Source organism: Homo sapiens, chromosome 20 (assembly GCF_000001405.40).
Source record: "Homo sapiens chromosome 20, GRCh38.p14 Primary Assembly".
Lineage (NCBI taxonomy): Eukaryota > Metazoa > Chordata > Mammalia > Primates > Hominidae > Homo > Homo sapiens.
The window spans coordinates 21,262,729-21,290,661 of record NC_000020.11 but is presented as its reverse complement, the minus strand read 5'-3'; the positions used below and the strand labels follow the sequence as shown (position 1 = coordinate 21,290,661).

The 27,933-nt window shown below is 44.5% G+C and overlaps 1 pseudogene, besides 5 other annotated features; it reads right to left on the bottom strand.

Annotated features, from left to right (window-relative positions):
* Nucleotides 17,664-17,713: an enhancer, noted in NCBI's record as "active region_17623". NCBI's record gives its function as "activates an Ori minimal core promoter by ATAC-STARR-seq in GM12878 lymphoblastoid cells {active_cell/tissue: GM12878}" and the evidence as "EXISTENCE:reporter gene assay evidence [ECO:0000049][PMID:35858748]".
* Nucleotides 17,774-17,823: an enhancer, noted in NCBI's record as "active region_17622". NCBI's record gives its function as "activates an Ori minimal core promoter by ATAC-STARR-seq in GM12878 lymphoblastoid cells {active_cell/tissue: GM12878}" and the evidence as "EXISTENCE:reporter gene assay evidence [ECO:0000049][PMID:35858748]".
* Nucleotides 17,834-17,883: an enhancer, noted in NCBI's record as "active region_17621". NCBI's record gives its function as "activates an Ori minimal core promoter by ATAC-STARR-seq in GM12878 lymphoblastoid cells {active_cell/tissue: GM12878}" and the evidence as "EXISTENCE:reporter gene assay evidence [ECO:0000049][PMID:35858748]".
* ZNF877P (zinc finger protein 877, pseudogene) lies at nt 24,238-24,599 on the bottom strand (annotated as a pseudogene).
* Nucleotides 25,045-25,094: a silencer, noted in NCBI's record as "silent region_12714". NCBI's record gives its function as "represses an Ori minimal core promoter by ATAC-STARR-seq in GM12878 lymphoblastoid cells {active_cell/tissue: GM12878}" and the evidence as "EXISTENCE:reporter gene assay evidence [ECO:0000049][PMID:35858748]".
* Nucleotides 27,739-27,788: an enhancer, noted in NCBI's record as "active region_17620". NCBI's record gives its function as "activates an Ori minimal core promoter by ATAC-STARR-seq in GM12878 lymphoblastoid cells {active_cell/tissue: GM12878}" and the evidence as "EXISTENCE:reporter gene assay evidence [ECO:0000049][PMID:35858748]".

Here is a 27,933-nt window from a genome sequence, read left to right as displayed (position 1 = left end):
AGGGGAGTACAGAGGGCATTCTCTCTTCAAAGATTCATTCAACAAACATTTGGTGAGCATCTACTATAAGCAAAGCTTTGTAGGAGATACAAATGTACTGTCTCTGCAGGATGGCTGAGAGTCACTGCCTTTGAAAAGGGAGGAAACCAGCAGAGGCTCTTAGAGAGCCTGAAGAAACTCAGTGGACTGATGTGATTTTAACTGAAGCACAAACTGGAAAATTGGAATGTATGGTTCATGACAATTACAAAGAGAAAGAAAAAGAAAAATGCAACCCATCCCGTCTCATTATTCATTCATTGCTTAAGCAAACAACTTAAATCATCTATTTGGGTGATGCTGAATTTGAATGAAGTCTGTGCCTGTTAGTAGTATCATCATGGGCAAGATTTGGTTCCATAATGTCTCCTGGGCTCAGCTGTGGTTTCTTCAAGGTAATGCTAGTCATGAAGATTAAAACCAGATAGGAGGGGGGTGAGGGGAGAAGAATTATGCATTTTTTAAATCACCGACGGCCAATTTTGCTTAGTAAGACAATGATATCAATTTGAAGGAGAAAATACATTAGGAATTTAGTATACAACGTGTTTAAGCACCATTTCTCATTTCTTCTATTTTTTAAAAACCTGATTTGCACTGTTCTGTGAATCCCCATACTCTTTTCTGAAATGAGTCTTCCACCTGGACTAGTGTGTTTCTTTGTCCTAACACATGTTACTTAAATAGAATCAGTCAATAAACTTGAATAATAACTAAAACAGGGAATGGGACACTTGTATTATGCAAAAATGAGTCATTATCTGGCTATGGTTGACAATGTGGGAGCTGCTTATAGTGTAGAATTTAGTCCAGCACAATAGAAGAATGCCTTAAATTAATGAGTGCTCTCAGAAATGTAACAAAGGTTCCAGTGAATGGCAGGAACACGTTTCTATCTGTTTATCATGGAATCACTTGCTTAAAGAGAACCAGCTTAGAAATCACTACCTTTTACAGAGAGCACGTTAGCCTATGGTTAGAAAAAAAAAAGGGGATATTATGACACCCAAAGATGAGGAATATTTTTATGTGGCTGATCCTACCACAAAAGGTAAAACAAATGACCTAAAACTCCAAAGAAAATGCATTTTCCTTCTGTCTAGTACAAAGACAACCCTCAAAGTGTGAGCCTGACTTTTAACATCCAATTCAGAGTCAATATTGTTTCTGACATCTCATTCATTTCTACCTAACTGCACTGCCAGGCTAGGAACACTCCTTTCCTAAAAGATGCTGCACTTGACGGAGGAGGCAGCCCTGCTGCAGAAGACCGAGAGCCTGGAGCTCTTGCTAGTGACCCATGTCACATGGCCTGCCTTCTAAGCCTGCTGCTGTATGTCCTTGAACGAGCCTCTCATCTTCTTTAGATCCCACTACCCTCACCCAGAAAATGAGGAGCTAAACCGAGTCACCTCTAAGGAGCCTTCCAGCTCTCATGAGTCAGGATGAGATGCTCTCTCCCTTGTCTCAATGCCTGTGACATTGGTGATCTGCATTTAACGCACTGATAACTGTTATTTATCAATGGTCTGATTGCCACTGGTTTTCAGCTATGTAGGCTCCGCCTCCCTTCCTGGAGTTACTCCATTCATTTAATTACCTTCAACAACTCCTGACTAAGCAGCTGATGTGCATCAGATGTGTTTGTAGGTGCTGGGTGGACAGCACAAAGTGCCTGCTCATATAGATTTTACAGTCTTCTTGGGGTGGCAGGTTGGGGGAGAGAGAGACAGCAAACAGGTGGAAAAGACAATATATCATGCTGTGACGGGTTGTGATAGGTGCTACGAACTAAAATAAAACAGGGCAAAGGGACGGGGAGTGACCATAACTGGGGAGTCGAGTGCAGTTGTGCAATCACAGCTCACAGTAGCCTCAACCTCCTGGGCTCAGGCCATCCTGTAGTCCCAGCTACCGAGTAGCTGGGACTACAGGCTTGTACCACCACGCTCGACTACATTTAAAAAAATTTTTTTTTGTAGAGATGAGGTCTTGTTTTGTTGCCCAGGCCGGTCTCGAACTCCTGGGCTCAAGCAATCTTCCTGCCTTAGCCTCCCAAAGTGCTGGGATTTCAGGTATAAGTCACTGTACCTGGCCCATTTTTCTATTTTTATTTATTTATTTATTTAGAGATGGAGTCTCATGCTGTCACCCAGGCTAGAGTGCAGTGGCACAATCTCAGCTCACTGCCACCTCCACATCCCAGGGTCAAGTGATTCTCCTGCCTCAGCCTCCTGAGTAGCTGGGACTACAGGTTCCCACTACCCTGCCTGGCGAATTTTTGTATTTTTAGTAGAGATGGGGTTTCAACATGTTGGCCAAGCTGGTCTCAAACTCCTGACCTCAAGTGATTCACCTGCTTCAGCCTCCCAAACTGCTGGGATTACAGGCATGACCCACCACACCCAGCCCCATTTTTCTATTTTTTAAATTGGAGTGTAACTGACCTACCATATGATGCACAGTTAAGTGTTCAGTTGACAAGCTGTGACAATTTTACAGACCTGTGGTGGTTTTAAAACATGTCTGAAAATTCTATGACACTGTTCCCATCTTTCCCACTATTCCGATCCCGTTCCTTGATTTTATTTTATTTTTATTTTTTTGAGATGGGGTCTTGCTCTGTCACCCAGGCTGGAGTGCAGTGGCACAATCTTGGCTCACTGCAACCTCTGTCTCCCAGGTTCAAGCAATTCCCCTGCCTCAGTCTCCCGAGTAGCTGGGATTACAGGCGCACACCACCACGCCTGGCTAATTTTTTTGTATTTTTAGTAGAGATTGTGTTTCACCATATTGGTCGGGCTGGTCTTTAACTCCTGACCTCAGGTGATCTCCCCGCCTTGGCTTCCCATAGTGCTGGGATTATGGCATCAGCCACCATACCTGGCCCCATCCCTTGATTTTAGACTGGTCTTGGCAACTTTTGACAATGCATACAATGTACGTGATATGATTTCTGAGACTAGGTTAGACAAGCAAGACAGCTTCCACCTGGCACATGCTTGCCTGTGCTTCCTCTCTCTCTCTCTCTCTCTCTCTCTCTCTCCATCCACCCACCCCCCCACCCCCCCCGCCCACACCACCACCAACCTCATGCTTATCCTCAGAACCCACCCAACTGCACTGTGAGGAAGCCAAGTGGCCCTGGACAGGCCATGTGTAAGTAGGTGTTCTGGCCACAGCTGAGGTCAGCCGACAGCCAACACCAACTACCAAATATGGGAATAAATGAGCCTTTGGATAATCGCAGCTCGTAGCCTTCAAGTTTTCTAGCTGAGGCCCCAGACATCACAGAACACTCTGTCCCCACTGTGCCCTGTCCAAGTTCCTATACTGCAGAAATCCCGAGAGGTAGAAAATAATGGTTTTCTTCAACTAAATTTGGGAGCAATTTGTTACGCAGCAATAGACAACAGAAAAAAATCCGTGTAATTGCCACCCAAAATAAAATGTAGAACATTTTCATTACCCCAGAAAGTTCCCTCAGGTCCCTTCCAGGCAATTTCTCCTCCACCCAGAGACACCGCATTCTTCTCCTACTGGCATTAATTAGTTTTGCTTATTCTAGAGAGGAAAGGCCCTTTGGATGAAATGCTCTTTGATTAGACGCCTGTGGGAAGTAAGGAAGTGATTATGCGTGCCAAGGTCCATGGGATTCAGGCAGAGGAAACAGCCACTGCCAGGGCCTCCAGACAGGAATGTGAATGGTGAAGTTGGGAAACAGTGGAGACTAACGTGGACTGCATGGAGGAAGCAGGAGAGAGGGGCCAGGAGAAGGGGCAAGGGTCAGATTAAGTTGTCTAATTAGCCAGGAGAGGAGAAGCTGTTGATGAGCTCTAAGATTTATGTTTTATTTTTGTAGGTTTTTTTCTTTTCTTGAGATCAGGGTCTTGCTCTGTCGCCCAGGGTGCAGTGGAGTAGTGTGATCAGAGTTCACTGCAGTCTCAAACTCCTGGGCTCAAGTGATCCTCCTGCCTCAGTCTCCAGAGTAGCTGGCATAATAGGTGTACACCACAATGCCTGACTAATTAAAAAAAAAACTGTAGAAATGTGGTCTCACTATGTTGCCTAGGCTGGTCTCAAACTTCCAAGCTCAAACGGTCATCCCGCCTTGGCCTCCCCAAGTGCTGGGATTAGATTACAGGCATGAGCCACCACACCTGGCCAGGGATTTATGATTTTAAAAGGAAGTGTCTAGAAGTTATGTGGGGTAATGGTAGAAGCAGAGAGACCTGTGTGGTGGACTAATGATGACCACAAATTCTTTGCCTCTTTCCATTGAAAGCTGGATACTATTTCTCACTACTTAACTTTGGACAGATTCTGTGACTGCTTTGACTAAAGGAATGTGCAGAAGTGGTTCCCTAGTCTGTGATTTAAGAAATATGCAGTTTCTCTTTCAGTGCCTGGAATGTTCCCACTTAGAACCTAGCCACCATGCTATGAGGAAGCCCAAGCAGTTATGTGGAAAGGTGACACCCAGGTGGAGAAGAATCAAGGTCCCTGGCCAACAGCTATAGCTGAGCTTCCACTGGATAGTCATCCTCAAATCCCAGCCCTGAGAGTGAGGCCATACTCATCCTTCCAGCCATCCTAGTGCACCAAATGACATCACATCAAGCTGTGTAACTACCTGATCAACCCACAGAATCATGGGAAATAATAAATGAAGTGTTGTTGCTTTGAGCCACTAAATTTCAAGTTGTTACACAGAAATAGCGAACTGAAACAACCTGTGAGGAGATTGTTAGTCTGGGTGGGAGATAATGGTGGCTTGGACTAGGTTAGTAGGGGTGGAGGCAGTGAGGAAAAAGATGACAGGATTTGTAACTGTGGAATATGAAAAAAAGAAAAAGGGATGAAACCAACAATTTAGGCCTTGATACTTGGAGGAATGAAGTTGTCATTTACTAAGACGTGAAGAATGACAGAGGCACAGGCTTGGGGGAGAAATCAGGGATTCAAAATGGGACTTGTTAAATCTGATATTTAAATTAAACTTCCAAGTGGAGATGCTGAGTAGGCAGGTGGATCTGTGAATCTGAAATCCATGGGAGGAATCTGGGCTGGACACTTAAATTTGGAAGTCAGTAGCATATAGGTGGATTTAAAGCTACAAATATGGATGCAATTACTTTGGTTTCACGTTAAAAAGGAAGAGAAGAGTTCTGGAGACTGAGCCCCAAGGTACTCCAGTATTGTGAACTCTAAAGGATAAGGAGAGGCGGGGAGCGGTGGCTCACGCCTGTCATCCCAGCACTTTGGGAGGCTGAGGTGGGTGGATCACGAGGTCAAGAGATCCAGACCATCCTGGCTAACATGGTGAAACCCCATCTCTACTAAAAATACAAAAATTAGCTGCACGTGGTGGCGTGCCTGTAGTCCCAGCTACTTGGGAGGCTGAGGCAGGAGAATCACTTGAACCTGGGAGGCGGAGGTTGCAGTGAGCCGAGATCGCACCACTGCACTCCAGCCTAGAGACTCCGTCTCAGAAAAATAATGATTATTGTTATGTTTATTATTATTACAGATGAGAAAATGGAAACACAGCAGGGTCGAGTATCATACCCAAGGTCACTCAGCTGATAAATGTCAGAGCTAGTGTGGAAACCAGAAGGACTTAATTTTTATGCTCATATGCTTTCATTCTTTTGTGATCAGTTTTCCTTCCTAGATTTTAAAAAGATCTTTTTCTTGATAGTGTAAACTTTCATTGTTAGGTACCTAGGTATAGATGTTATTTTAAATTCAGATTCATTTTGATCAGTACGTGGCTCACTCTTTGAGTCTAGAGTCTTAGGTCGGGAGTTCGAGACTAGCCTGACCAACATGGAGAAACCCCGTCTCTACTAAAAATACAAAATGAGCCGGTCATGGTGGCCCATGCCTATAATCCCAGCTGCTCGGGAGGCTGAGGCAGGAGAATTGCTTGAACCTGGGAGGCAGAGGTTACAGTGAGCCGAGATCGTGCCATTGCACTCTAGCCTGGGCAAGAAGACAGAAACTCTATCTCAAAAAAAAAAAAAATGGATAAGGAGAAATCTCAGAGGAGACGAAGAAGGATAGCCTGTGAGATGGGAGGGAAATCAAGAGCGTGTCCTGGAGGCCAAGAGAAGAACATGTTTCAAGAAGAGGGTAGGCTGGGTGTGGTAGCTCATGTCTGTAATCCCAGGACTTTTGGAGGTCGAGGCAGGAGGATCACCTGAGGTCACGAGTTCAAGACCAGCCTGGGCAATATAGGGAGACCCAGTTTCTATTAAAAAAAATTAAAAATAGGCCGGGCATGGTGGCTCACACCTGTAATCCCAGCACTTTGGGAGGCCAAGGCAGGCAGATCACCTGAGGTCAGGAGTTCAAGACCAGCCTGGCCAACATGGTGAAACCCTGTCTCTACTGAAAATACAAAAAAAAAAAAAAAAAAAAAAAAAAAAAAATTAGCTGGGCGCTGTGGCACGTGCCTGTAATCCCAGCTACTTGGGAGGCTGAGGCAGGAGAATCGCTTGAAATCAGGAAACAGGTTGTGGTGAGCTGAGATTGTTCCACTGCTCTCCAGCTCAGGGGCAACAGAACAAGACTCCATCTCAAAAAATAAATACATAAATAAATAAAAATTAAAAAATAAAAATTAGCCAGGCTTCACAAAACAGGGATGCCCTCTCTCACCACTCCTATTCAACATAATATTGGAAGTTCTGGCCAGGGCAATTAGGCAGGGGAAATAAATAAAGGGTATTCAATTAGGAAAAAAGGAAGTCAAATTGTCCCTGTTTGCAGATGACATGATTGTATATTTAGAAAACCCCATCGTCTTAGCCCCAAATCTCCTTAAGCTGATAAGCAACTTCAGCACAGTCTCAGGATACAAAATCAATGTGCAAAAATCACAAGCATTCCTATACACCAATAACAGACAAACAGAGGGCCAAATCATGAGTGAATGCCCACTAACAATTGCTTCAAAGAGAAATACCTAGGAATCCAAATTACAAGGGATGTGAAGGACCTCTTCAAGGAGAACTACAAACCACTGCTCGACGAAATAAAACAGGACACAAACAAATGGAAGAACATTCCATGCTCATGGATAGGAAGAATCAATATCATGAAAATGGCTATACTGCCCAAGGTAATTTATAGATTCAATGCCATCCCCATCAAGCTACCAATGACTTTCTTCACAGAATTGGAAAAAACTACTTTAAAGTTCATATGGAACCAAAAAAGGGCTCGCATTGCCAAGACAATCCTAAGCCAAAAGAACAAAGCTGGAGGCATCATACTGCCTGACTTCGAACTATACTACAAGGCTACAGTAACCAAAACAGCATGGGACTGGTACCAAAACAGAGATATAGACCAATGGAACAGAACAGAGCCCTCAGAAATAATACCACACATCTACAACCATCTGATCTTTGACAAACCTGAGAAAAAGAACAAATGGAGAAAGGATTCCCTATTTAATGGTGATGGGAAAACTGGCTAGCCATATGTAGAAAGCTGAAACTGGATCCCTTCCTTACACCTTATACAAAAATTAATTCAAGATGGATTAAAGACTTAAATATTAGACCAAAAACCATAAAAACCCTAGAAGAAAACCTAGGCAATACCATTCAGGACATTGGCATGGGCAAGGACTTCATGTCTAAAACACCAAAAGTAAAGGCAACAAAAGCCAAAATTGACAAACGGGATCTAATTAAACTAAAGAGCTTCTGCACAGCAAAAGAAACTACCATCAGAGTGAACAGGCAACCTACAGAATGGGAGAAAATTTTTGCAATCTACCCATCTGACAAAGGGCTAATATGCAGAATCTCCAAAGAACTTAAACAAATTTACAGGAAAAAATCAAACAACCCTATCAAAAAGTGAGTGAAGGATATGAACAGACACTTCTCAAAAGAAGACATTTATGCAGCCAACAGACACATGAAAAAATGCTCATCATCACTGGCCATAAGAGAAATGCAAATCAAAACCACAATGAGATACCATCTCACACCAGTTAGAATGGCGATCATTAAAAAGTCAGGAAACAACAGGTGCTGGAGAGGATGTGGAGAAATAGGAACACTTTTACACTGCTGTTGGGACTGTAAACCAGTTCAACCATTGTGGAAGTGAGTGTGGCGATTCCTCAGGGATGTAGAACTAGAAATACCATTTGACCCAGCCATCCCATTACTGGGTATATACCCAAAGGATTATAAATCATGCTGCTATAAAGTCACATGCACACGTATGTTTATTGTGGCACTATTCACAATAGCAAAGACTTGGAACCAACCCAAATGTCCATCAGTGACAGACTGGATTAAGAAAATGTGGCACATATACACCATGGAATAGTACGCAGCCATAAAAAAGGATGAGTTCATGTCCTTTGTAGGGACATGGATGAAGCTGGAAACCATCATTCTCAGCAAACTATCGCAAGGACAGAAAACCAAACACCACATGTTCTCACTCATAGGTGGGAATTGAACAACGAGAACACTTGGACACAGGAAGGGGAACATCACACACCGGGGCCTGTTGTGGGGTGGGGGGAGGGGGGAGGGATAGCATTAGGATATATATACAATGTAAATGATGAGTTAATGGGTGCAGCACACCAACATGGCACATGTATACATATGTAACAAACTTGCATGTTGTGCACATGTACCCTAGAACTTAAAGTATAATTTAAAAAAAAATTAGCCAGGCTTGGTGGTGTGTACCTGTAATCCCAGCTACTCAGGGAGGCTGAGGTGGGAGGATCGCTTGAGCCCAGGAGTTCAAGGCTGCAGTGAGCTTTGATTGCACCACTGCACTCCAGCCTGGGCAACAGAATAAAACTCCATCTCAAAAAAAAAAAAAAAAAAAAGGAGGAATGGTCAGGTCAACATGGTATGTTAATATGGAAATACTCTAGCAATTTTTGAAAACCAAGGTAGATCTATAGATAGTAATTTTGTAATTTGTAGCACCTTTGTAACAAACCATGAAACTTTAAATTCCTAAATGTAAGCATATGTTTGTAAATGCACACCAAAACCTCTCTAAGGATACTTAGCTATTTATCATTTCAATATTGTAGAACAAGAATCTACTCATCTAACATGTGAGCATTTAAAACAAAATTTTGGTAGAGAAACTAGAAGAAAATGAAGCCAAATATTTATAGCGCCTGCTTGGAAAGGTAAGACTTTTGTGTTCATTTTCCCCTGTGTTTTTATTTTTCCACTGAGTACATTTTCAGAATGATTATCTATATGGGAGAAAAGACAGTGGTGAAATAACAATGGGTCAAGAAACAAGACCACCAAAAAAAAAAAAAAAAGATGTGCCCATTAAAGGAGATGAAATTGCGCAGTGAGAGTTCCTGAGCATGTTTTAGACTCTTCTCCTCATTAAGTATAAATCTTTCCCAGAGAGTTTGTATATGGCAGCAGGAGTGCAAAAGGATCTAGGGGGCCTCTGAAATCATTGTTCTTTGTGGACCCAGAATTGGAACAGTAGCCTAACATGGCCAGGTGGTAGGAACATCTCTATGGGACCAGTTGTCTTGATCCAGAGAGAAAACAGGTTCCACAGACAACAAACTGTGTAGTTAGGACCAGCCTTGCTTCAGTGCAAAGCTGTTGGCCACAGGGAGGACTGATCAACACCATCTCATTGTGGGTGGATGGAGTTGCACCTCCGCCCACGGCCAGGCTGCTAAGGTTTCCCTTCCTTCTCCCTCTGCTTCTACTCCTGCCTGTCTGCTCAGCAGGCAGGGTTGCTATGCAAGCCAGCGAACTGCCTGCCCCTGCACAGGGATGACATGCTCTGTCCCTCTCTGTTCCCTTCTTGTAATGCTGATCTTCTGAGATCAGGAGAAGTAAAGCCATGTCCTCCCTTGAGTGAGGGCTGCCCACTTTTTCACTAGCACTAGTTTGAGGTCCAGGCCTCCACATTCCCATCTCTAGTTTCCTCATCCTCTGGATTCTAATGGTCCTGGTTACACATTAGTTGACCAATGGCCTTGGACTCTGGTATCACTCAAAGGTGAGAGTGCAAGACTATGGGTGTGTCTGGACAGTGTAAACAGAAAGTGAGATCTGAGCATTAACACCCATTTGTTAAGACCTGGTTTCCAATCTAAGCCAAAGATCTTGGATGGGACCAAAAGAAAGAAATCCTGAATTAAAACAGAGCTTACACTCAAGGCTAGAAAGATTCAAGGTGGAAGGAGCACAAACAGTGCCCTGGGGGAAGGCAAAGAAATTGCTTTGCCGTCTGAATAAAATAGTTTGCGCATTGATTTTATCTGGGAGTGAGGAGATACTGACGGTGACCTCTGAGCACAAGAGGGTTAGTGGTGTCCCACATCAGGAAAAAAGAAAACCTGTGCTTTGAAAAACTTGTTTATTTTGAAATAATTTCAGTCTCTCAGAAAAATTGCAAGAATGGTGCACAGAATGCCCATACACTCTTTATTCAGTTTGATGACGTGTTAACACTTTGCCACATTTGTTTTGTCATTCTCTCTCTCACACACACACACACATACACATATTTTCTGAACCATTTGAGTAAAGTTAGTGCTATAGTTCAGATGTTTTTCCTCCAAACTTCATGTTAAAATTTGATCCCCAGGGTTGGAGGTGGGACTAAACAGGAGGGGTTTGGGTCATGCACGAGGGAGAATCCCTCATGAATAGATTAACGTCCTGGGAGCAGGGTGAGTGAGTCCTCACTGTTAGTTTCCACAAGCACTGATTGCTAAAAAGAGCTGGTCTCTGCCCTTCTCACTCTCTCTTGCTTCCTCTCCCGCCAGGTGATCTCTACACAGCCAGCTCCCCTTTGCCTTCTGCCATGAGTGGAAGAAGCTTGAGATTCTCCCAGAAGCTCAGCAGATGCTGATGCCATGCTTCTTCTACAGCCAGCAGAACAGAGTCAAATAAACCTTTTTTCTTTATAAATGACCCAGCCTTGGTCAGGTGCAGTAGCTCACACCTGTAATCCTAGCACTTTGGTAGGCTGACGTGGGTGATTGCTTGAGCTCAGGAGTTTGAGACCAGCCTGGGCAACATGGTAAGACTCTGTCGCTACTATAAATACAAAAAAAAAAAAAAATCAGCCCGGTGTGGTGGCACACACCTGTAGTCCCAGCTACTCAGGAGACTGAGGTGGGAGGATCACTTGAGCCCAGGAGGCAGAGGTTGCAGTGAGCCAAAATTGCACCATCCTGGGTGACAGAGTGAGACCCCATCTCAAAAAAAATTACCTGGCCTCAAATATTCCTTTATAGCAACTCTAAACAGACTAAGACAGATGGATCATGTTCCCCATTATCCCTGAGTATCTGACAGCATTTTCTAAGAACAAACAAATTCACTTACAAAACCTCTGCTCAGTTATCAAAATCAGGAAAACTACTGATACATTGTTATTACTAAACAGTCCATGTTCAATTTTTGTCCTTTGTCCCCTAATAATGTCCTTTACAGCAATGTTTCCAGTCTGGGACCTCAGGGTCACACATTTACACTGAGCTGTTGGGACTCTTTACCCTCCCTCCATCTGGGACTGTTCCTTCTTCCTTATTTGCATTTCTTGACCTTAATGTTTTTTAAAAGTGCAGAACAGTTCTTTTGTAGGCTGTTCCTCAATGTCAGCTTGTCTGATATTTCCTCATGATTCATTTTAGATCATGCATTTTGGGGAGGAACAGCACAGGAGTACACTGATCTCTATACAGTGCGTTGAAGATCGATATGTCCCATTGCTGGTGGCACCAACATTGATCTCTTGGGTAAGGTGGTGACCACCAGGTTTCTCCACTGGAAGGTATTATTTTTCTGTTCGTAATTAATAAGTAATCTGAGAGTGAATATTTTGAGAATATGTAAATGCCCTGTTCTTAATCATATGTTCATGCACTACTTTTAACATCCATTGATGATTCCTGTGTGACTCAATATCATGATGGCTGCAAAATGGTGATGTTTCTTTTCTCATTCTTTCTTCTTTCTTTCTTTCTCTCTCTTCCTTCCTTCCTCCCTCCCTCTCTCTCTCTTTCTTTCTTTCTTTCTTTCTTTCTTTCTTTCTTTCTTTCTTTCTTTCTCTCTCTCTTTCTTTCTTTCCTTTTCTTTCTCTTCCTTTCTTTCCTTTTCTTTGTCTTTCTTTTTTTTTTTTTGAGACAGAGTCTCGCTCTGTCACCCAGGCTGGAGTGCAGTGGCAAGATCTCAGCTCACTGCAACCTCCGCCTCCCAGGTTCAAGCGAGTCTCCTGCCTCAGTCTCCCAAGTAGCTGGGATTACAGGTGTGCACCACCACACCTGGCTAATTTTTGTATTTTTCAGTAGAGACGGGATTTTGCTATGTTGGCCAGACTGATCTCGAACTCCTGGCCTGAAGTGATCTGCCTGACTTGGCCTTCCAAAGTGCTGGGATTATAGGCATGAGCCACTAAACCCAGCCCCAAATGGTGATGTTTCTAACTTCATCATTCCATCTACATTTATTACTTAAATAGGAGAGAAAGGAAAGCTTTGTTTTGTTTTGTTTTGTTTTGTTTTTCTGAGACGGAATCTTGCTCTGTCGCCCAGGCTGGACTGCAGTGGTCCTATCTTGGCTCACCACAACCTCAGCCTCCCGAGTTCAAGTGATTATCCTGCCTTAACCTCCCATGTAGCTGGGATTACAGGTGTGTGCCACCACGCCTGGCTAATTTTTGTATTTTTAGTAGAGACGGGGCTTCACCATATTGGCCAGGCTGGTCTCGAACTCCTGACCTCAAGTGATCCACCTGCCTTGGCTTCCCAAAGTGCTGGAATTACAGGTTTGAGGCACTGCACCTGGCCAGAAGGGAAAGCTCTTCATAGGAGAATGCCAACTAATAATGTATAACTGCTATATACAAATACACACAAATATACATATATTCATAATATACTAAAATAACACACATGTATACCTATTCATAATATACAGATTTATAATATATTAAAATATGAATTTAGTATACCATAATATACTAAAATACATTATGTTATGTAGTATAATACTATACACACATATATAAAATACTGAAAATGTATATTTATATTTACCATTTATATATAGATTACATTATACTATGTAGTATAATGCAGTATGTTAATGTATACTACTATGCACACATAAATAATATACACAATATACTAGTAATGTATATGTATGTATACTTTATATATATTTGTTATTAGTTGCCATATACACACACACACACACACACACACACACACACACACAAAGAGTGTATGTGTGTATAATCAGGGACAGATGGATTCTTCTTTTATTTATGGGTTGTAATCCTTTGCTGTCATTGTTTATTTTGATTTTTTTTTAATTTTTTTTTTTTTTAATAGAGACAGGGTCTTGCTCTGCCATCCAGGCTGGAGTGCAGTGGCACAGTCATAGCTCACTGCAGCCTCCAACTCCTGGGCTCAAAAGATCTTCCCACGTCAGCCTCCTGAGTAGCTGGGACTATAGGCATGCACCACCATGCCCAGCTAATTAAAAAAATTTTTCTTTTGTAGAGATGGGGTCTATGTAGCCCAGGCTGTCTCAAAGTCCTGGCCTTAAGGGATCCTCCCACCTCAGCCTCTCAAAGTACTGGGATTATAGGCATGACCCACTGAGCCCGGCCTTATTTTGGCTTATGTTAATGTTCATATTGTCTCAAATGTGGTAAGTGGAAGCCCCTTCAGATTAGCTCCTGCATCCTTTCAATGTTTCCAACCTTTTTAGAATTTGCCCTTTTCTTATGGCACCATAAGATGTTCCAGGCTCATCTTGAACTTTCCCTGTGCCAGCTCTGGAATCAGCCATTTCTCCAAGTTGCCCTAGAAGTCTACATGTTCAGAAATGAACTTAGTCCCTGTCTAAAGCTCTCAAAAGTGTGCTGGCTGCTCTGGTGGGATATCCACTAAGCTCCCCAAATTACATTTTATCTCATTTAATTTTATCTTAATTATTTGTAATATGACACATTGTAAAATGATTGTTTTTTAAAAGAGAAACTTTTTTCTTTTTCTTTTTTTCTTTTTTTTTTTTTTTTTTGAGGTAGAGTCTCGCTCTGTCACCCAGGCTAGAGTGCAATAGCTCAATCTTGGCTCACTGCAACCTGAGTCTCCTGTGTTCAAGCGATTCTCCTGCCTCAGCCTCAAGAGTAGCTGGGATTACAGGCATCTACCACCATGTCCAGCTAATTTTTTGTTTTTTGTACTTTTAGTAGAGAAGGTATTTCACCATATTGGTCAGGCTGGTCACGAACTCCCGACCTCAGGTGGTCCACCTGCCTCGGCCTCCCAAAGTGCTAGGATTACAGGTGTGAGCCACCATGCCTGGCCTAGAAGGTAAACTTTTGATTTACTCTATATGTTTAAACATCTTGTGAAAGTTAGAATAAAATTTAGTTTCCTACTTTTTGTTTTTGTGCAAAATTAGGAATTGCAGCCATGTTATGGGGTGACTAAGCTTTTGTGAACTGATCTAAACATTCCATTAGCCATCACGTAGAACCCTGATTGCGTGAGATGAGTTCTGAGCATGAAACAACCAATTTATAAATGGACTTTGGGAGATGGGATATTTATAAGATGGGTTCACAGGTAGTTAAACTAGACAGTGAAGTTTAAATTCTCCTTCATTCCTAAAATTCTTTTTTTTTTTTTTTTTGGAAACATAGTCTTGCTCTGTTTTGCAGTGGTGTGATATTGGCTCACTGCAGCCTCTGCCTCCCAGGTTCAAGTGATTCTCCTGCCTCACCTTCCCAAGCAGCTGGGATTACAGGCATGCGCCACCACTCTCGGCTAGTTTTTGTATTTTTAGTAGAGATGGGTTTTCACCATGTTGGCCAGGCTGGTCCTGACCTCAAGTGATCTGCCTGCTTTGGCTTCTCAAACTGCTGGGATTATAGGTGCGAGCCACCACGCCCGGCCATAAAATTCTTTTTTTTTTTTTTTTTTTTTTGAGACGGAGTCTCGCTCTGTCATCCAGGCTGGAGTGCAGTGGCGCCATCTCAGCTCACTGCAAGCTCCGCCTCCCAGGTTTACTTACGCCATTCTCCTGCCTCAGCCTCCGGAGTAGTGGGGACTACAGGCGCCCGCCACCACACCCGGGTAATTTTTTGTATTTTTAGTAGAGACAGGGTTTCACCGTGTTAGCCAGGATGGTCTCAATCTCCTGACCTCATGATCTGCCCGCCTCGGCCTCCCAAAGTGCTGGGATTACAGGCGTGAGCCACCGCGCCCAGCCTATAAAATTATTTTGCTTCCATTCATCTATGATTACCTTTGACCAGAAACCAATTCAAAGCTCAACTACTGCGGTTGGTGGCAAGTGTTATTTTAGCATACAACTCAGCACTTGTATTCCTTTCCACGTTCCACCAGGAGTCAATTCAGAAAACACCTGTGAAATGAACTCTGGAGAGAAAAGAGTCCCATGGTTTGAGATCATAGTTTGCTCACAGTGTGAGGATGTCCTCAGAAAACAAGGAGACAGAGGGTAATTACTCGATACCGCAGAGATCTAAGCCAGTGGTTGTCAAAGTGTGGTCCCTGGTCAAGCATTAGTATTTCCTGGGAACTTGTAGGAAATATTCATATTCTCAGGCCCCAAACCTGACTTCTGGATTGGAATCTCTGGGGTGGGTCCCAGGGATCCAGGTTTTAATATGCTCTCCAGGAGATCCCAATGTCACTCAAGTTTGGGAACTGCTGCTCAAAAAATTGTGGCAGAGTCAGGGCTGCACCCTCTAACAAGCCAGCCGGCGTCCCAGCATGCAGCCAGCCAGGGATCTGGAAAGGGAAGCATCTTCTACCATGGGGACTGGGACTGTTCCTGCTTCAGGTCTTGGCCACTCCCAGGTTTGCCCAGAGCCAAGTGTTCAGGTGACCCAGGACCTGCAGGAGAAATCACCAAGAAGAGGTTATGTGCACAGAAAATTCACACTGGATGGGGCAAGCCAAGATGAGTGACTATCTGCTGTCTCCAGTGGTTCCCCATGCTACACCTGATTCTGTTTTCAGAGCCATCTTCTTGGGATATTGGTTCTTCGCCTGATTATGTCTCATCTGACAGGTGAGGAGGCAGGGAATTCAAAGCAAACAACTATGCAAAGCCCCACAGAACATCCTTTTGGGGAGAGGGTCAAGGGCTCAGGGATGGTGGGTGGGGGCAAAGAGGGAGGAGCTTCTCCTGGACCCCCACCCCACAGTGGGAATGTGGCCACCTCAGAACTTATGTTTATAACCACTAAGTTGGCCATGATCCCAAACTGCAGCTATAATAATATTTGATATCTATTTTGAAATCTCAGAACAAAGCTTTGGCTGCCCTAGAAAAGGGACTGGCTGTGTTCAGCAGATGGAGGCTGAGTTAGCATGGAGGGGTCAGGAGTGGTCACAGACAAGCCTTGTGATCAAGCTATGCAAATAGGCACCCATGTGCTATTCTGGACTCAGGGCCAACATCATTTCCCATTTTCTGAAAAGAGAGCCTTGGAATGACTTTCACCTTAGCCTCTTTAGGAAATTAAAGCCTGGAGCTGTGACGAATGCCTTTCTGACCAGGGCAGCACAGGCAGCGTAAAGATCTACGCGCTTCTTATTTAATGATGAGCTCAGGCCAAGATCAGCCTTCAAGGGGAAACCACTGCGTCTCCTTTCTGCTCACTCCAGAGCAGGGCTTGAGAGTCCTACTGGGCTGAGAGGCTCTTCAAGGATCTCAAGTTTACCCAGCAGAGATGATATTGACCTTCCGTTTTTAATCAATGGTTCGTCCCCTGAGGCCACACAGAAGATGGAGACTGCAATCTGTCCTTTCGCCTTCTTTTTTCTAAGTCCTTTCCCAGGTCTGACAATGCTGTTTCCTTGGGAAAAAATAGGTAAACATTTACATCAGACTCCCAAGGTCCTAGTTATAGCCAGTGGGGTCCCACAGCCTTCTGTTTTCTTATGGTCTCCTGGGGGAGAGCATGGAGGAGGGGAGCCATCTAAACCAAGGGTCATAGTTCCTTTCCCTCCTTAGAGGACTGGCAGAATGGGGACTCACAACATAAAAGGATTGAGATCACCGTCAACCTTTGCATATCTTTGTGAACAGTTTAACGTTTATTACAGTAAAATAATGACTTTCACACCATGTAAAGGCAGTATAAACTCACCAGTAACCTTCAGCATCCTCCCCTGCGATGTCAATAAGAAGCTTGTGAATTTACTCAGCTTGGGAGCAGATAATGCCCAAACCAAGGAGAATTAGTGTGTGTATGCCCGGTTCTTCATGCAAACAAAAAATTGATTTCAATGCCATGACTAGCGTTTCTAGACTCACATATCCTGGACTCCTCTGGGTTTCTGGAAATGTCCTACTGCCTCTTCCACCAACAGGGGCAGGAAAGGCCTGTGTTGAGTTACTATCCCTCTCTCCTGATACTGCGCTGCAAAAACTGTTTTACTTTCCTCTTCCCTTCTCCCACTCCAGGTCTCACTCCTTCTAAGCAACACCCTGCAGAGTGATGCATCTCTACCCAGAAAAGGTCCACTGAAGGAACCAGACGTTTCCACAGGAGAAAGGCACAGCATGGAATTACTATACAGAGAAATACATGAGCCATCAAGAAATAAAGTGAGAATGTGGATGAGGCCCATGAAGAAGCCAATATGCCAAACAGTGAGCACACCAGGTGTGTATGTGTGACCAGAAATGAAAACAGTTTCTGTGAAAGCACATTTTAAAATAGACAAGAACAGTTAGAATAGTGTTCGCCACAAGTAAATGACTTTTACTGAAACTTATAACCTGAGAAATAGGTAGAACAGGTGTTGTTCCCAGTTCAGAAAGGAGCAAAGAGTTGCCCAGGTAATAATCACACCATGAGACAAGGTCTGGCTCTGTCACCCCGGCTGGAGTACAGTGGCACTATCACAGCCACTGCAGCCTCAACCTCCTTGGCCCAAGCAATCCTCCCACTTCAGCCTCCTGAGTAGCTGGGATTACAGGCATATGATACCATGCCTGGCTAATTTTTGTATTTTTAGTAGAGATGAGGTTTCACTATGTTGGCCATGCTGGTCTGAAACTCCTGGGCTCAAGCAGTCCTCCCACTTCTGCCTCCTAAAGTGCTGAAATTACAGGTATGAGTCACTACTCCCAGCTGACTTCTAGTGAGGATCTTTTTTCTTTAGTGAAATAAATGCCTTTCAGGAATTCTTCACATTCATGAAAGCCAAATGCAATGAGGAAGCCTTAAGTAGCTCCTTGAGTTAAAAAAAATATGCTAGAATAGAAGATGTTTGTACAAACTGGGAAATGTGAATGGACTATATATTGGATGGCATTCTTGAGTTAGTGTCAATGGTCTTCATGCGATGATAGTGTTGTGACTAGGGAGGGGCCATCCTTGTTCTTTGGAGATGCTGGCTGGGGGACTTAGGCCATAAGGAAAGAAGTGACCACAGAGGAAAGGAGGGTGAAGGCATCAGGGGACCTAGCTGGTCTGCTCAGGACTCCACTCAGCCAGATGGAAAACGCAGTTCTGAATATCTATTGCTGTGTAATAGAGCAGCCCAGAACATGGAGCATAAAAAACAACAATTGCTTCTTTGCTCCAAGTCTGCGCTTCGGGCAGGTGCTCCTCTCTGGTCCTGTGGCATCACCTCTGGTGCTCCAGTGCTGGGGGCTGAAAGGAGTCACTTGCTGTTGCCTGGGTTCCTGGGTTCTCTCCACATGTCCTCTCCATGTGGTGAGCTTGGGCTTCCTCACAGCATGGTTGTCTCGGAGTAGTTGGCCTTCTTACGTGACAGCTGGCTTCCCCTAAAGTGCAAAAATAGAAGCTGCCAGAACTTCACAGGGCTTAGGCCTAGAACCAGTGCTATGTCACTTCTGCCACAGTCACAGAGCCAAGCCAGCTTCAAAGGAATTAGATACAAGGAGAGGCTTATGGGGGTTGGGGGTCACTAAACAGACAGCTTACCACACACAGGGATAAGGAGCTATGGTTAGTGGAAATTTACCGTAGGCCAACATCCACAGGAACAGGGTACTTGATAAGACCGTGTCTCAAAATTATTTGCTCATTGGCCACATCAAGGCACCTCAGTTGAATGCAGTGATCAAACCGTTCAATGAAAAATGGGGAAAACAAGAGTTTCCTTATTACAGGACTACTCCAAGAATTTAAGAAGCTCGCACACGTTGGGGGTATAATAAAGAAAGGACTCCCTATTCAATAAATAATGCTGGGATAACTGGCTGGCCACATGCAGAAGATGGAAACTGGATTCCTTCCTTACACCATAAACAAAAATCAACCCAAGATGGATTAAAGAGTTAAATGTAAAACCTAAATCTATAAACACTCTGGAAGATATCCTAGAAAATATCATTGTGAACATAGGCCCCGGCAAAAGTTTCCTGATGAAAATGCCAAAAGCAATTGCAACAAAAACAAAAATTGACAACTGGGACTTAATTAAACTAAAGAGCGTCTGCGCAGCCAAAAGAACTATCAACAGAGTAAACAGACAACCTACAGAATGGGAGACAGTATTTGCAAACTATGCATCCAACAAAAGCCTATTATCCATCATCTACAGGGAACTTATTAACAATCAGAAAACAAAGAACCCCATCAAAAACTGGGCAAAGGACATGAACGCTTTTCAAAAGAAGACGTACATGCAGACAACGAGCATACGAAAAAATGCTCTACACCACTAATCATTAGAGAAATTCAAATCAAAACCACAATGTGATACCATCTCACACCAGTCAAAATGACGATTATTAGAAAGTCAAAAAATGGAGAGGTTGTGGAGAAAAGGGAACACTTAGACACTGCTGGTGGAAATGTAAGTTAGTTCAGCCATGTGGAAAGCAGTGTGGCAATTTCTCAAAGAACTTAGAACTGCCATTCGACCCAGCAATCCCATTATTGGATATATACCCAAAGGAATATAAATCATTCTACCATAAAGACACATGAACACGTATGTTCATCGCAGCACTATTCACAATAGCAAAGAACGAGATCATGTCCTTTGAAGCAACATGGATGGAGCTGGAAGCCATTATCCCAAAAAAACAAATGCAGGAACAGAAAACCAAATACTGCACGTTCTCACTTATAAGTGGGAGCTAAATGTTGAGTACACATGGTAACAAAGAAGGGAACAACAGATACTAGGGCCTACGTGATGGTGGAGGGTGGGAGGAGGGAGAGGATTGAAAAACTACCTATTGGGTACTACGCTTATTACCTCGGTGACAAAATAATCTGTACGCCAAACCCCCAGGACATGCAATTTACCCATGTATTTTAATTCTAAAATAAAATATTTTAATTCTAAATTCTAAAATAAAATATCTTAATTCTAAAACAAAAGTTAAAAAAGTAAAGCACTTGCCAAACCTATCTGACTGCAGTGCACACTTTTTAAAAAAGACTATCATTTGAGACTTTAGGATTATAAAGACTCCAGTTTGGATTCTTATCCTCCAAGACATGGAGGATGAGTTTCTCATTAGATCATAGTCCTGGGTTTTCTACTGTCTGTCCTCAGTTTCAGCACGTTCCTGCTCACTGATTCTCATGATGTATGTTGATGGTCTCTCTTCTCTCTCATCCTCCCAAGGGGATTTGCTGAGGTTCAATGTTATTACAAGGTGAGAATGTGAACCTCAGGAGCCTAATATGAGCTCCCTTGGTATGAGAAAATTCTCACTGCTCACAGGTAAAAATAATATCCTGGTCACACACTTCCCTTGGCACACCCATGCCCAGAATGACTGAACCCCCAATTGTGCACGAGCTGAACTCTTGCTGGACCTTCGAGACTCAGCCCAAAGCTTACTTCCTTATCTAAGCCTAACAGGAACCACTCATAGGCAGTCTATCCGATCCAAGTGCGTTTCCATGGAATAGTAAAAACAATGCTGTCAGCTAATAACTGTTGGGTACTTACTATGTATATGACACTGTGTTGAGTACTGCGATTTGAATGTAGATTTGTCCAACTCCTGAACCAGACTGTTTAACCATTGCATGGTCTGGCCTCTCCTGAGCTGTTCCCGTCAATATTTAGCACATAGCATTGTGTGACAAAGACTGCCAGTTTTCCACCAAAATTCACATTGCTCTTCTTCCTGAGAATATGGCTGCCCAGGTGGTGAATGTTTCCTGACCTACCCCATGGCTAGGTGTGGCCAAGTAGCCAAGCATTCACCCATGGAACTGGAGAAATTCCCATGGCCCTCCTTAAAAGGACATCTCTTTCCTAGGACTTCCACACTCTCTCCCTTCTCCAGTGCCTGGAACTTGCTTGGCCATGCAGACCAGGATGGTCCCCTGGGGTTGGTGGAGGGATGAAATGGAATGAAATGGAAGGGCTTCAGAACGTGCGGAGCAGAGCCACCTGCCAAGCTGGAGGCTGTTAACGAATGAGAGCAAAATGAACTTCCCTGTTCTCTGAGCCACTGTATTTTGGGGCCTGTTTGTCACAGCAGCTGAGACATTGCCCTAAACAATTCACCTTGAGATGATCTGGTTTTTCCCTACAAGACAATGAAGTCCTTGAAGTCAGGGATCATGCCAAACTCATTTCTCCATGTATCCAGCCTGGCATGGTGGCTGGATCACAGCAAGTATTCCCCAGTGATGCTCCTGTTGAATGTGTGAATAAATAAAGTGCTACTTCTTATGTTGCTGCAAAAATCCCAATGAGAAATGTGTGTGCATTGAGACTAGATGCAGGTATATCTGAACAGAGAGAAAGACTGGTCCTCGGTGAGAATTGGGACCAGGAGGCAAGACTGACAGCATTCCCAGGGGACTGGAGGGAGAGATGCATCCGATTTCGGTTGATTTCATACAGTGGCAATGAGTGTGCTCGCAAATGCCAGGAAGGCTTGGCCAGTGGCACCCTGTGTACACCATTTCATGAACTACTGTGGTGATTAAACCGCAGGGTGCTCCAGAGAGGCTTTCTAGCTTTTTTCCCTGGCACATCCCCTCGCTTGAGTAATGCCCGGCTTTAACTTTAGGAAGGCAGAAGATGGCAGTCGGGCTGTCTGTCAGTGTCATCATGTGTCATCATCTTTGGGCTGCCAGTGGGACAGCTGGGGAAGAGCAGGATCAAGTTGACTGGCAGAGGGTTTTACATCTAATGAGTTTGTGTGTAGTAATAGTGTAATAAATAAGGCTCTGGAGGAACTCAGCTATCACTCGCATTCCAAAAGTGAGATATGGCCTTCCCAGAAGCTCACGGAACCATCTGTCACCAAATATTAGTCTGTGTCAGTGGCTGGACTGGCCTGAGGACATGGAAGATGTCAGTAGAAGGAGGCAATTGACAACACCATGTCATTCAAAAAGATTTAAAGGGAGCCGCCTTAAGGAGCTGGAGATTTCCAGGTGATTTTTGAAATACACATATGAAACTACCACCAAAAGCAGTTAGACTTGAAATCTCGGCTGCTGAATGCTAAAGAGTCTTTCCTTAGGAGGAGTTCAGTTTCTGTCACTTAGGGTGAGTTCTTGAGTCATATCATCCTTATCTGCTTGGATTTGGGGCTGGAATTAATGCGATCTTCTTTAATGTGTTTTTGCCAGTGTGATCCATCAAGATCTGATTGTCGCCGAAGAAGTCCGCTGATGACACAGCCGTTAGTGACAGGAATATCGAGAGTGGACGAATGCTTGAGTATTGGATAAAAGCTGTCAGGATTGGTAGCTGCTTGGTTTCCTTGTTTTTTTGCTGAGGAAAAGGAGGAGGAGGCTTAAAAGCTGTTACAAATAAAGAACTGGGGCCTGAATAAATCTTGTGTTGGTAACACAAGTACATGCTGAGCTATTAAAGCACATGGTAACGGGGAAAGTCAGGAGGACAGAGGGGCATGGTGACCCTTTAAAAAGGAGGCAAAATTAGGAAAAAAATTCCCTGTGCTCACTTGAGCAGCACATATAGCACATTTAGAAAAGCAATTCATCGAAATGAAAAGTTCAAGGATAGCCAAGTCCCAGTGGTAGCAAATGCAGGAGATTTTATGGGCCTTCTCTGTGTAAGGTAAGGTAAACCCACCGAGATTTGCCTTGGTGTGTTTATGCCTGCAGAAAGTGTGCTTCCCCATGTTAATGGAAGACCCTGGATTGGCCTCTGCTGGGGAGTTGAAGGGATGGGTCCCTAAGGACAGAATTCAGTGAGGTAGATTTTAGTGCTTCAAAGTCACAGAATTTACCCCTCATTCTCTGTTGAGAACAATCCTTCTCAAGTGTATTCCAGGACTAGTACTGTAGATTTCTGTGGTGGATATGGTAGAATGGTACTCCACATCCATTCCAGCCCCTTCTGGTATGTCTAGCTATACTGCAGAGCATGGAAAGCAAATCACTACGTTTCCTAGACTCCCTTGCAGCTAGGGTTCTGGTGTGCTCTAGGTAGGTCCTACTAACCAGATGTGCTTGTAAGAGATTTGGAGAGTGGGAAGCAGGCAGAGCCGTGCCACTGCTCCTGGGGCTGCAAGCTTGCTTGTGGCAGTGTCAGTGGAGGACCCAGGGCATTGAATCAGAGCACACAACATCTGTTTTGCCCTGGACAGCTGTGACAGTGATGCTCAATGGCTCACCTCGGGTCACCCTGGCACAGGAAACCCAGTAGTGTGGGCGGGACTGTGGATTTGGTTGTAGCTCTCACACACCAGGGCTTCGGACCTGAACCCTCCACTTCCCCATGTGCATCTCAAGCCTGACTTGAGACTCCGTATTCAGTCTCTCCTTTCACTGGGGCCCACATGGAGTCTTCCTTGTGCTTAGCTTGGTCCCCTCCCCAGGTTGCCTCCCCTCAACCTGGTGCCAAGCCATTCTCCCAGAACCAGCCCAGTGAGGCCTCGCCTCAGCACCCCCTCCAGGCCAATCTTGCCATCTCTCACATGCTTCAGCACTTTATCCTGTCTTGTCACCTGGTGCATTTGGTCACTTGTGTATGTTTACATGTGCGTGTATCTTGTCTCTCCAAAGACCCTGGGGGAGCCTGCCCCAGCCTTGTTCCACAGCTCCTGGCACGGAGCTAGGTTGCTGACAAAGGCTCAGCTTGCTCTTACTTGGATTCAGTGTTGGACCTGAAGCCCTGGGGCATCAACACTAGGATCTGCTCAGGAAAACCAGCTGGTGTTTCCTCCAGGCATGAGTGGTCTGGTGAAAGATGAGGTGGGAGCTCTGGCCAAAGGCCTTCCCACACTGAGCACTGGGTGCAGCGATGGGGTTTCTCCCCACCGTGCGTCCCCTGGGGCACCAGGAGGTCAGAGCTGCGGGTGAAAGCCTTGCCGCATTCAGAGCACTCACAGGGCCTCTTGCCTGTGTGGCTCCTCTGGTGCATCAGGAGGCAAGAGCTGTCTGTGGCTGAGGTCTTGCTGCACTCAGGGCACATGGATGGCTTCACGCTGTGTGCACACCTGGTGCACAGTGAGGCTGGAGTGCTGACTGAAGGCCTTGCTGCATGTGCTGCAGATGAAGGGCTCCTCCCCCGTGTGCACCCCCTGGTGCCACCTTCGGCACATGCATAGAGATTCCTGCTGCGGCGGCCAGGCTGGGGCTGTGGCGGACAACTTCCCCGAGCTCCAGACGGTTCTGGCCTCTCTCCTGGGAGACATTTCTTTTCTTTTGCTGGGGCCTGCCTGGTGTCTTTTCATTTCTCCCCATTTGCTCGCCTGTAGGCTGTTCCAACAGCTCTGCTCCTCTGTTCTCTGCTTCTCGGGCTTCCCCAAATACACAGGCCTCTGGAATCTCACCCTGGAGTCTTCAGAGAATTCTTCTTTCCAATTTGTTTATTCCAGAATCGAATCCTCCTTTTCAACTTTAGTCTCAATATCCAGCCTGGCTGAGGCCTCTCTACTCAGCCTTAGCAGAACGTCTCCAACAGTAGCCCTCAGGGCAGGGAACAGATGGGTCCCAGGCAGCAGGTGGCCTCAGAGGGCTGAAGTCAGAGGAAGCCCAGGCCCTGCTCTCATGGTGGCTTTCTCATCCACAGCTCATGCTGCTGTCACCAGACCAATTCTGAGACTTTCTGCTGTGGCACACCAAGTTCCTGTGGGAAATGCCCACACTGATTTGGTGGGGGAGCTGACCCCTTTAAGTCAACTTCATAGAGGCACAATTTACATGTCATAAAATGCTCTATGTTAAGTGTACAGTTTTGATAAATGCATACACCCATGTGATCACCACCACAATTAAGAACAGTGGTGAGGCCCGGGGCTCCTCCTTCAGGCTCACAGGGCTCTCCCCATTTGTATGCACCTCATTCACATTTGACCCCAAGCGACTGGAGAGAGGAAACCCCGATGTGTTCTATGGGATCAGCGAGTGTCACCTGAGCAAGCCTGGCAGAGCCTGAACCCCATATCCTTAGCGTCTGTTCACTGCTCTGTCCAAAAAGTCTTTAAGCCATTTTATGGCCTATTGTTGTAGAGAATCTCCAAATACAGCTCCATGATAGTTTCTGTTGTATACACATGCAACTCTACCCATTAAGAGGGGAGGTCTCATACCCCTCCCCTTGCTGGTCCCAGTGACTTGCTTGACCTGCAGAATGCAGCGGAAGTGACTTTCAATGCTCGGTCATAAGAAGCATTGCAGCTCTGGTTGGGCCTCTTGGAATTCTTGCTCTTGGAAGACTGAGCTACCACACAGAAAGTCTTGCTGCCTTGAAGCCACCATGCTTTGAGGAAGTCCAAGATGGCCATAAGGGAAGCCAACCGCAGTCAGGAGATAACTTGCCAAGCAAGAACGGAGCAACGGGAATGAGTGGGTGGCATTTCTGTGATGGCAGTGTGCATTCCTCCCCACTAAACCTAATATCCATGCCAAATGAATCTATTTTATACACTGGCTGGGAATATGGAGAAGACACATTACAAATACTTGCTTGTTAGGCTCATCTTTTTTTTTCAGCTCTTAAAGGCAGCGCGGATCCAAAGAGTGAGAAGCAACAAGATTTACCGCGAAGGGCGAAAGAACAAAGCTTCCACAGCATGGAAGGGGACCCAAGTGGGTTGCCCTAGGCTCCTCTTTTTAAAAGCCTATGCTGACTGTTCTTAAGTGTGGTGGTGATCACATGGGTGTATGCATGTATCAAAACTGTACACTTAACATGGAGCATTTTATTACATGTAAATTGTGCCTCTTTGAAGTTGCCTTAAAGTTGTCAGCTATCTCTCTGGAGGCCAAGTCATGCCACAGGTCTTGAAGGTGGTGGGGTGTGTGGTGACGTCTACAAATGTCTTTGATACTTGGCTTCATGGAGCCCAAATATTGTAAATTATCAGAGATCTTTAGGGAAAAAACATCTCTTGAGCTATAAGTGTCTAATGTATTAGGTTGGAGCAAAAGTAATTGTGGTTTTTGCCATTTTTATTGCCAAAAACCACAATTACTTTTACATTAACCTAATAACAAGTTTATATACTGTAGTCCTTGTGTGATTCATTCAATGAATCCTTTGGGAATGAAGTCAATGTATAAGTAAACTTTCTCCCTTAAGAACTGGGGGAAAACTTCATAATGCAGACCCAGCAGAGCTTGGATTTAGAATGGATAACAACTCCTATTTGTCCTATCTTGCTAAAGGTAACAGGCTCTCCTATAACAAATGATGAATGGGGAGGTTTTGTCTATTCCAGCCTTAGTCCCCTGCTTTGTCTGGTTCCTTTTCTTCCTCTAAGGTTGATGCTTCCTTCACTTCAGATATCCAAGAAACCCTAGTCTCTTCTTGGGACCCTGTCTTATTGAAGTTGAGAAAGATATAAAGTTCACTATTATATTTATGCCTTCTTCTTCTCCTTCTCCTCCTCCTTCTCCTCCTTCTCTTCTCCTCCTTCTCCTCCTTTCTCCTCCTCCTCTTCCTCCCCTTCCCCCCTCCAACCTCTCCTCCTCCTCCTCCTTCTTCTTCCTCTTCCTTTTCTTCTTCCTCTTCTTTTTTATTTTTATTTGAGACGGAGTCTTGCTCTATTGTGAAGACTGGAGTGCCATGGTTGCAGCCTTAACTTCCCAGGTCCAAGTGATCCTCCTACCTCAGCCTCCCTAGTAGCTGGGACCACCACACCCATCTAATTTATTTTTGTAGAGACAGGGTCTCACTATTTTGCCCAGGCTGATCTCAAACTCCGGGGCTCAAGTGAACCTCCCACCTCAGCCTCCCAGAGTGTTGGGATTACAGGCGTGAGCCATCGTGCCCAGCCTATTTATACTTCTTGATTCATTGTTTATATTTTAGCTTGTGTTTCAGTCCAGGAGTTTGGCAGCTATTGTTAAGTTTGCCAACTCAACTCACATTCCTGTTTCAATCCCTATAGGATTTGCCTGCCTATGTCATAGAGGTGAGAGTATGTAATATGATCTTTTCTAGACTCCTATGCAGCTATGATGCACACATGTGACCTCGAACCTCCCAATCATATGCACCCCTGTAAGCCCTGAATGTAGAAGCAAACTACAGGACGATCCCTCTGTAGAAGAACTGGGCCTTCCAGCAAGCACAGCAGCAGAGGAGTCAGGTCTTCCCAAGCAGTCAAGGCCAAGTTTGTGACATCACAGTTGGCAGGCAGTGGAGGCAGAAGCATTTTCACTAGAACAGGAACTAGGCACTTTTTTTCTGGTTTCATTGTAGTGACTATATGAACACACAGCCTAGTTGGCTAGTTCTCCTGGAGATTCTGGTGTTGTCAAATATTTTTCAATAAATCCCTTTCTGCCTAATCTAAGCTAGAGTGGACCCTTTTGTCTGCAACTAAGGACTCTGACCATTATAAGTGATGACGGTGACCAGGCAATTGTATTTTAAGTGTTATCTCTTATCATGAACCAAGAACCTTTTTATTC